The sequence below is a fragment of the Homo sapiens genome, chromosome 9, assembly GCF_000001405.40.
Source record: "Homo sapiens chromosome 9, GRCh38.p14 Primary Assembly".
Lineage (NCBI taxonomy): Eukaryota > Metazoa > Chordata > Mammalia > Primates > Hominidae > Homo > Homo sapiens.
The window spans coordinates 131,752,149-131,761,689 of record NC_000009.12 but is presented as its reverse complement, the minus strand read 5'-3'; the positions used below and the strand labels follow the sequence as shown (position 1 = coordinate 131,761,689).

General features: G+C 45.8%; 1 annotated feature.

Annotated features, from left to right (window-relative positions):
- Positions 5,988 to 6,595: an enhancer, noted in NCBI's record as "H3K27ac-H3K4me1 hESC enhancer chr9:134630482-134631089 (GRCh37/hg19 assembly coordinates)". NCBI's record gives its function as "activates a minimal SCP1, AML or CMV promoter by ChIP-STARR-seq in naive H9 embryonic stem cells {active_cell/tissue: H9 hESC(naive)}" and the evidence as "EXISTENCE:reporter gene assay evidence [ECO:0000049][PMID:30033119]".

Sequence of the window (9,541 nt, the reverse complement as noted above, 5' to 3'; positions counted from 1 at the left end):
ATGAACAAATTGTGGTAGTCATATATAGTTCATATAATGAAATATTATACTGCAGTGAAAAAGAACTACATGTTGGCCAGGCACAGCGGCTCATTCCTGTAATCCCAGCACTTTGGGAGACCAAGGTAGGAGAATCAGTTGAAGCCAGGAGTTTGAGACCTGCCTGCAACCTAGTGACAGCCTGTCTCTATAAAAAAATAAAATAAAAACATTTCAATTAGCCAGGTGTGGTGGCATGCACATGTGGTCCCAGCTAGTCAGGAGGCTGGTGGGAGGATTGCTGGAGCCCAGGAGATCAAGGCTGCAGTGAGCTATGATTGCACCACTGCACTCCAACCTGGGCAACAGAACGAGACCCTGTCTCAAAAAAAAAAAAAAAGAACTACGGTAATAGCATAAGCAGATGTCAGACATAGTATGGAGCAAAAGATGCTAGACCCAAACTTCCCACTTACATGAAGTTCAAAACCAGGTCTAAGGGCCAGATGTGGTGGCTCACATCTGTAAGCCCAGCATTTTGGGAGGCCAAAGCGGGCAGATTACCTGAGGTTGGGAGTTTGAGACCATCCTGGCTAACACGGTGAAACCCCGTCTCTACTAAAAATGCAAAAAATTAGCTGGGCTTGGTGGCGGGTGCCTGTAGTCCTGGCTACTCGGGAGCCTGAGGCAGGAGAATGGTGTGAACCCAGGAGGCAGAGCTTGCAGTGAGCCAAGATTATGCCACTGCACTCCAGCCTGAGCGACAGAGCAAGACTCCATCAAAAAAAAACAAACAAAAAAAAAACAAACAAAAAAAACAAATTAGCTGGGCATGGTGGTGGGCCCGGGAATCCTAGCTACTCGGGAGACTGCAGCAGGAGAATCACTTGAACCCGGGAGGCGGAGGTTGCAGTGAGTTGGGATCACATCACTGCACTCCAGCTGGGGCAGCAGAGTGAGACTCCATCTCGAAAAAAAAAAAAAAAAAAAAAAAAAGGCCTAAGGTATCTATGGCGATACACATCAGAATAATGGTTACCTCCAGCAGGGTGAGGCCTTCTGACTGGAAGCAGTATAAGGGTGCCTTGGTGGGTGGGGGAGGGGGATACTGGGAAGGTTCTAGATTTTATTCTGGATGGTGTTTATCTAGGGGTAAAATCTCACCAAGCTGTACATGTAAGACTATCCTGCTTTATTGTTTGTCTGCTAACCTTAAAAATGGCCAGGCATGGTAGCCCGTGCCTGTAATGCCAGCACTTTGGGAGGCCAAGGTGGGAGGATCATTTTAGATCAGGAGTTTGAGACCAGTCTGGACAACATAGTGAGACTCCGTTTCTACAACATTAAAACAAACAAACAAAAAATTAGCCAGGCGTGGTGGCATGCACCTGTAGTCCCAGGTATTTGAGAGGTTGAAGCAGGAGGATCACTTGAGCCCAGGACCTTGAGGCTGCCGTGAGCTATGATTGTGCCACTTCACTCAAGCCTGGGTGAAAGAATAAGATCCCATCTCTCAAAAAAAAAAAAAAAAAAATCAGGCCAGGCACAGTGGCTCATGCCTGTTACCCCAGCACTTTGGAAGGCCGAGGCAGGTGGATCATGAGGTCAGGAGCTCAAGACCAGCCTGGCCAACATGGTGAAATCCCGTCTCTACTAAAAATAGAAAAATTAGTCGGGCACAGTGGCATGCGCCTGTAATCCCAGCTACTTGGGAGGCTGAGGCTGGAGAATCGCCTGAACCCAGGAGGCAGAGGTTGCAGTGAGCCAAGCTCACACCATTGCACTCCAGCCTAGGCAACAGAGCAAGACTCTGTCTCGAAAAAAAATAAAAAATCAAAGAAAAACTTTAAGAACAACCTAGAAATAAAAACCCAGAGACAACGAAGGAAGGGGAGGGGTGCCGGGCTCATTGCTGGCAGCAGCTCTGAGCAGAGGGGACTTAGGGCTGTGATCAGGTGGACTTAGGATTGCTGTAGGGTCTCACTGAGATAATGCTGGTGAAGTACAGGTACAGAGAAGTCCCAGGCATACTGGCTTCTGCTCATTGTTTTCAAAACCCCAGAGGGTCCTCCTAGACCTCTTCCTTTTATGAAACACACTTAATTTCCTAGTTCGAAGCTACAGAATAGGATTGTAGCTTCCCCTTCCTCCCTTCTTTTTCCTTGTCTGTATTTTTGCATTTTTCTACAATAAATGTGTTATAACTTTTGTGATATGAAAAAAAGCAATAAGAGCTATTTTAATTAAAGGAAAAAAGCTGTGTGTGCAGATTCTGATTTGTGGAGTTTGCAGAAAGGCAGACTCTAAGAGCATTAAGGTTATTTGAGTCAGGGAAAGAGTTGGGGGTTTGGAGTCTTTTGGCCAAAACTGCCTCTGCCTGCTTCTCCTGTCTGGGAGGTAGCAGCCTTTTTATTGATACAAATGCAAGAGCAGCTGCCTCCATGAATCATCAGATTGCACCCTCCCTTAATTGCTTACTCAACTAAGTGCTTTGCAGACTTTCCCTTCTCAGCTTTGTAACAAGTTAGAAGTCAGGTACTACTATCAATTTCATTTAGAGGAGGAAGCAACTGAAGCATGGCGTGGTGCACGCCACACAGCTAGTAAATGTCTGGCTTATAGTGGCTTTGGTGACAGTGGCTTAGATGGCTGGCCCTGGGTGGCCGTCAGGAGCTCCACTGTCCAGTCCTGACCTTTCTCTTGCCTGGATGTTCTGCAGACCCCTACCTCTACCTGGCTCATCCTTCCTGGAAGCTGTAGTAGAAGCATATATTCCCTGTCTTACAAGGTCAATCACCATTATTATCCCCATTTTACACTCAAAAGCACAGGTTTAAGAGCATTTAAATAACTTGCCCAAAATCCCCTAACCCATAAGTGACAGTGCAGTGAGTTACAACCAGAACTTTCTGGTCCAGAACACAGCTCCCCACCATGGAGCTCATGCTCCGTCTGGCATTGACTGTTCAATTTTTTTCGTTCTAAGCTGGGCATGTTAGACTGTGAAAATCAACTTTTTTCCTCTCTAGGAAATAAGAGGTTACAGAGTTTATTTTTCAGAGCAGTGGAAGTGAAGATAGAAAGGATTTCAAGAAGGCTTCTTTTAGGTGAAGATTAAAGGAAATGTTATAACAAAACTAGGCATGGTTGATCTTGTAAAGTGTATGGCGTTTTCCTTTCACTGTTTAAAAAAAAAAGTCTATGCGATGAGGTGATGTATTTGCCTTTTAGAAATTCGATAAATACGGAAGCTATGCCTTTGTTTCCCATCCCGACTCCCTGGTTTGTGTGTAATACTACAGAGAAAGGTTTCTCCAAGATTTTTATTGGTGGTACCCTTTCTTAATTTAAAGTGTGGATTAGTGGGGAAGAAAAGTATTAATAGCTTGTTAGAGTCAGAAGATAAACCGCTCAGGCAAAGTGTAAATTGATACAATCTTTGTAGAGGACAATATGGCCACATGTATCAACATTTCAGCATTTCACACATACATATTTCTCCACCCAGAAATCTCACTTCTAGCAAAGATATATACAAGGATGCTCATAATAATACAGTTTGTAATGGTGAAAATTAGGAACAACCTAAACATCTAACAATATGGCATTGATCCAATAAAATATGGCACAGCCACCCAGAGAAATACAGCACAGCTTTTAGAAGCAAGGATGGAGAGACTGAGCACAGTGGTTGCTCCCAGGGAGGGGAAGAAATGTACTTTTCATCATCTAAATACTTTTGTGATTTTTTTAAAATAAGTTTTACTTTGAGATAATTGTAGATTCACATGCAGTTGTAAGAAATAATACAGAGAGATCTCTGGTACCCTTTACCCATTGATAGCAGCTTGCAAGACAATAGAAAGCTATCTCAACCAGGCTACTGACACTGATACAGTCAAGATCCAAAACATTCGATCATCACAACTATCCGCCCTGGTTTCCTTTTCTAGCCACCCCACTTCTCTCCCACTCCTGCCCCCTCTTTAGCTGCTGGCAACCACTAATCTGTTTCCCGTTTCTACAATTGTGTCATTTCAAGAATTATATATAAATGGAAAAATACAATATATTACCTTTACAGGATGACTCTTCTCACTCAGTATAATTCTCTGAAGATTCATCAGATTGTTTCATGTATCAATAGATCATAGTTCGTTCCTTTTTATTGTTTTTTCTTTTTTTTTTTTTTTTTTTTTTTTTTTGAGACAGGATCTCACTCTGTCACCCAGGCTGAAGTGCAGTGGAGAGATCTCAGCTCACTGCAACCTCCGCCTCCTGGGCTCAGGTGATCTTCCCACCTCAATGTCCCGAGAGCTGGGACTACAGATGCATGCCATCACACCTGGCTAATCTTTTCTTTTTTCTTTTCTTTTTTTTTTTTTAGTAGAGACAGGATTTCACCATGTTGTCCAGGCTGGTCTTGAACTCTCCTGGGCTCAAGTGATCCACCTGCCTCAGCCTCCAGAGTGCTGGGATTACATGCATGAGCCACTTTATTGCATTCTTTTTGCATCATTGTCAACAAATTAGCTGGGCATACTCGTAGAGCTCTCTTTCTGGGTTCTCTATTCATGTGCATGTACTATCAAAAATTAATTTTAAAACTATATTGATGATATACAGCTATACTTATTAATATGAAAAAATGCCAACATATTGAGTAGAAAAAATATTACAAGAGGGTTATTTGGTATATTCTAATTTTTGTAAAACTTTTTTTTTTTTTTGAGATGGAGTCTCGCACTGTCATCTAGGCTGGAGTGCAGTGGCACGATCTCGGCTCACTAGAACCCCCACCTCCTGGGTTCAAGCAATTCTTCTGCTTCAGCCTCTCAAGTAGCTGGGATTACAGGTGTGTGCCATCACGCCTGGCTAGTTTTGTTTTTTGTATTTTTAGTAGAGATGGGGTTTCGCCATGTTGGCCAGGCTGGTCTCGAACTCCTGACCTCAGGTGATCCACCCTCCTCGGGCTCCCAAAGTGCTGGGATTACAGGCGTGAGCCCACCACGCCTGGCCAAACCTTTTTTTTTTTTTTTTTAAGAATGTGCCTTGTGCATATACATGGGGTCCACTCATAGCAAAGAACTTAAAATAGCATTTTACAAGCTGCAATCCCAGGGGTTCCCATGGAAGATTCTGAGGGGCTCACTGATTTGGGCAAAGCTGAACTCTGTGCCTTTACTTTGCTGATGTGTGATGCTCAATGAGAAGAATGCGGCTCTTCCCGGGATCTTTTGACTAAGGGATTCCCCACGTTTTCCCCCTAAGGAGCATTTCTCAGGGCTAGTGTTCCAGGGAGCGTACTCTGGGAAACTGGTCTGAAAGCCTCTCTGCCAAAATGTTAACAGTGGTTATCACAGAACTGTGGGATTCGGAGTGGTTTTTACTTTCTCCTTCTAACTTTTTCTGTTAACCGAAAAAAATCGATAACAATATTATTCAATACAAACACTAAAAAGCACCAGGTGCGATGGCCCATGCCTGTAATCCCAGCACTTTGGGAGGCCAACCCGGGTGGATGGCTTGAATCCAGGAGTTCGAGACCAGCCTGGGCAACATGCTGAAACCTTGTCTCTACAAAAAATACAAAAATTAGCCAGGTGTGGTGACATGCACCTGTAGACAGGAGGATCACTTGAGCCCCAGAGTTCGAGTCCAGCCTGGGCAATATAGGAAGACCCCATCTCTAAAAAACAAACAAAGAACTAACACAGTAACAAGTATTACTGTGACAAGGTGAGGGTGGTTGGGGGGGGGGGCGGCCACAAGGTGCCAGTGGCATAGGAGCAGGAAAAAAAGCCCAGGAAAGAATCTCCAGGAGGAAGGGAGAAGCAGAAAACACACAGCACCTGCAGTTCATTCACAGCAGCCGGAGCGAGGAGGTGGGGAGCCGAAAGCCACGCAGGGCTCCACAGCGCCACCATGTGACAGCAAAAGCTGACATCACAGCACTCAGTAAGACCTCACTGTACTGCAGCAGGGCCCTGGGGAGGAAGAGCTGGTCCTAATGCCACCCACATCGGGGCTGGTGGGTGAGGAAGAGGGGATGTGAAGTCACCTGTAAGGCTGGTGGTGGTTACATCCTGGAGACTTTGAAGAGTCGATTTTTTATTAAGTCCGCGTGTAGAAGAGACCTTGCTAGTTATATCCACAGACCACTCTTTTTTTTTTTTTTTTTTGAGACAGGGTCTTGCTGTCTCCCAGGCTGGAGGACAGTGGCACAATCATGGCTCATTGCAGCCTCGACTTCCTGGGCTCAGATGATCCTCCCACCACAGCTTCCCAAGTAGCTGGGACTACAGGCGCACGCCACAACACCTGGCTAGTTTTTTGTATTTTTAGTAGAAAAGGGGTTTCACCATGTTGCCCAGGCTGGTCTCGAACTCCTGGGCTCAAGCAATCCTCCCGCCTTGGCCTCCCAAAGTGCTGGGATTACAGGCGTGAGCCACTGTGCCCAGCCCACTCTCTTGTGAATTTCTCATTTATTTATTTATACCCTCCTTGTTCTGGGAGAAGACAAACAATTAAGCATGTCTCACAAGTGCTCATAAAAATAAGACAAGAGAGTATAAAATTAAAAGCAGTTGGCAGAAGAGAGAAGAACAAGGCTGGGTGCCAACCGGAGCCAGCAACCAGGCGTCTTCTCAGCCCCTCCTCGCTATCCAGGTGAGCAAGAGGCCTTGTTGTTCTGGAATTCCCAGTGGTGGGGGCAGGGGGAGGAACAAAGCAGGAGCTGGAGTCAGCAGGCAGCCCCCCGGCCAGGTGCGTCTAGAACAGGCTCTCACAAGCATGGAGAGAATGCATATTTAACACTGAAAAGTCCAGACGGCCCCAGGCTTCCATTGATGGCTCTCAGGCTGAGGAATCGCTGTTGAGACAGAGCTGAGATTTCCCAGCATTGAGATTTGTGTGATTTAAGGGACCAGGGTTCTGGGGGGAGGAGACATTGCAGAGGTAAAAAGCCAGTCCTCGGCCGGGTGTGGTGGCTCACGCCTGTTATCCCAGCACTTTGGGAGGCCGAGGTGGGAGGATCATGAGGTCAGGAATTTGAGACCAGGCTGGCCAACATGGTGAAACCCCGTCTCTACTAAAAATACAAAAAATTAGCCAGGTGTGGTGGCCGTTGCCTGTAATCCCAGCTACTTGGGAGGCTGAGGCAGGAGAATCACTTGAACCCAGGAGGCGGAGGTTGCAGTGAGCCAAGATCGCGCCACTGCACTCCAGCCTGGGTGACAGAGCGAGACTCCATCTCAAAGAACAAAACAAAACAAAAGCCAGTCCTCAGAAGTTGGCTTTCCCTCACATCCATTAGGATGGCTATTATAAAACAGCAGAAAATAGGCTGGGTGCAGTGGCTCACGCCTGTAATCCCAGAACTTCAGGAGGCTGAGGTGGGTAGATGACTGGAGGTCAGGAGTTTGAGACCAGCCTGGCCAACATGGTGAAACCCTGTCTCTCCTAAAAATACAAAAAATTAGCCGGGCGTAGGGGCCGTTGCCTGTAATCCCAGCTACTTGGGAGGCTGAGGCAGGAGAATCACTTGAACCCAGGAGGCGGAGGTTGCAGTGAGCCAAGATCGCACTGCTGCACTCCAGGCTGGGCGACAGTGCAAGACTCCATCTCAAAAAACACAAAACTAAACTAAACAAAACAAAACAAAACAAAACAAAAGCCAGTTCTCAGAAGTCGGCTTTCCCTCACATCCATTAGGATGGCTATTATAAAACAGCAGAAAATAGGCTGGGCGCGGTGGCTCACGCCTGTAATCCCAGCACTTCGGGAGGCTGAGGTGGGTAGATCACTGGAGGTCAGGAGCTTGAGACCAGTCTGGCCAATATGGTGAAACCCCATCCCTACTAAAAATGCAAAAAATAGCTGGGCGTGGTGGCACATGCCTGTAGTCCCAGCTACTCAGGAGGCTGAAGCAGGAAAATCATTCGAACCCAGGAGGCAAAGGTTGTAGTGAGCTGAGATCATGCCACTGCACTCCAGCCTGGGCAACAGGGCAAGACTCTGTCTCATAAAAAAAAAAAAAAAAAAGAAAAAAAAAAGAAAAGAAAGTGTTGATGAGGATGTGGAGAAAATGAAATCCTGATGCACTGTTGATGGAAATGTAAATTGATGCAGCCGCTGAGAAAACAGTACTGTGGTATCTGAAATAATTAAAAATAGAATAATCTGCCAGACGTGGTGGCTCATGCCTGTAATCTCATCACTCTGGGAGGCCAAGGTGGAAGGATCACCTGAGCCCAGGAGGCTGAGACCCAGCCTGGGCAACATACTCCAGCCCGGGCAACATAACGAAATTTTTAAATTTAAAAAATTTTAAAGTTAGCTGGGTGTAGTGGCACATGCCTATAGTCAGTCCTAGCTACTCAGGAGGCTGAGACAGGAGGATCGCTTGAGCCTAGAAGGTTGAGGTTACAGTGAGCCAGGATCATGCCACTGCATTCCAGCCTGAGCAACAGAGTGAGACCCTGCCTCAATACATTAATTAATTAAGGTCGGGCACAGTGGCTCACACCTGTAATCCCAGCCCTTTGGGAGGCTGAGGTGGGTGGACCACCTGAGGTCAGGAGTTCAAGACCAGCCTGACCAACATGGCGAAACCCCATCTCCACTCAATACAAAAAATTAGCCAGGTGTGGTGGTGCCTGTAATCCCAGCTACTTGGGAGGCCGAGGCAGGAAAATCGCTTGAACCCAGTTGGCGGAGGTTGCGGTGAGCTGAGATTGTGCCATTGCACTCCAGTCTGGGCAACAAGAGTGAAACTCCGTCTCAAAAAACAAATTAATTAATTAAAAATAGAATTATCATACGATCCAGTAATTCTACTTCTGTGTATATACCCAAAAGAATTGAAAGTAAAGTTTCAAAGAGATATTTATACACCCATATTCATAACAGCATTATTTACAGTAGCCAAAAGCCGAGTGTCCAAATAGATAAACAAAATGTGGTCCATTCATCCATACAAAGGAATATTATTCAGCCTTGAAAAGGGAGTGGCACTGTGACGCATGCTGCAGCACAGGAGAACCTTGAGGATGTGTGTTAAGTGAAATAAGCCAGTCACAAAAGGACAAATACTGGATGATTCCACTGATATGAGGTGCTAGAATAGTCAAATTGGTAGACACAGGATATAGAATGTAGGTTGCCAGGAGCTGGGGAAGGGGAAAATGGGGAGTCAGTGTTTCATGGGGACAGAGTTACAGTTTAAGATGATGAAAACATTCTGGAGATGGATGGTGGTGATGGTTGCATAACAATGTGAGTGTGCTTAATGCCACTGGAGGGCACACTTAAAAATGGCTAAGATAGCTGGGCCCAGCGGCACGTGTCTGTAATCCCAGCTATTCTGGAGGCTGAGCCAGGAGGATCACTTGAGCCCAGGAGTTTGAGGCTGCAGTGAACCATGATCACACCACTGGGTGACAGAGGGAGACCCTGCCTCTTCAAAAAAAACAAAGGGTTAAGATAGTAAATTTTACGTTATGTGTATTTTACCACAATGTAAATTTTTTTATTATTAAAAAAAGTAGTTGATTTTCAAAAG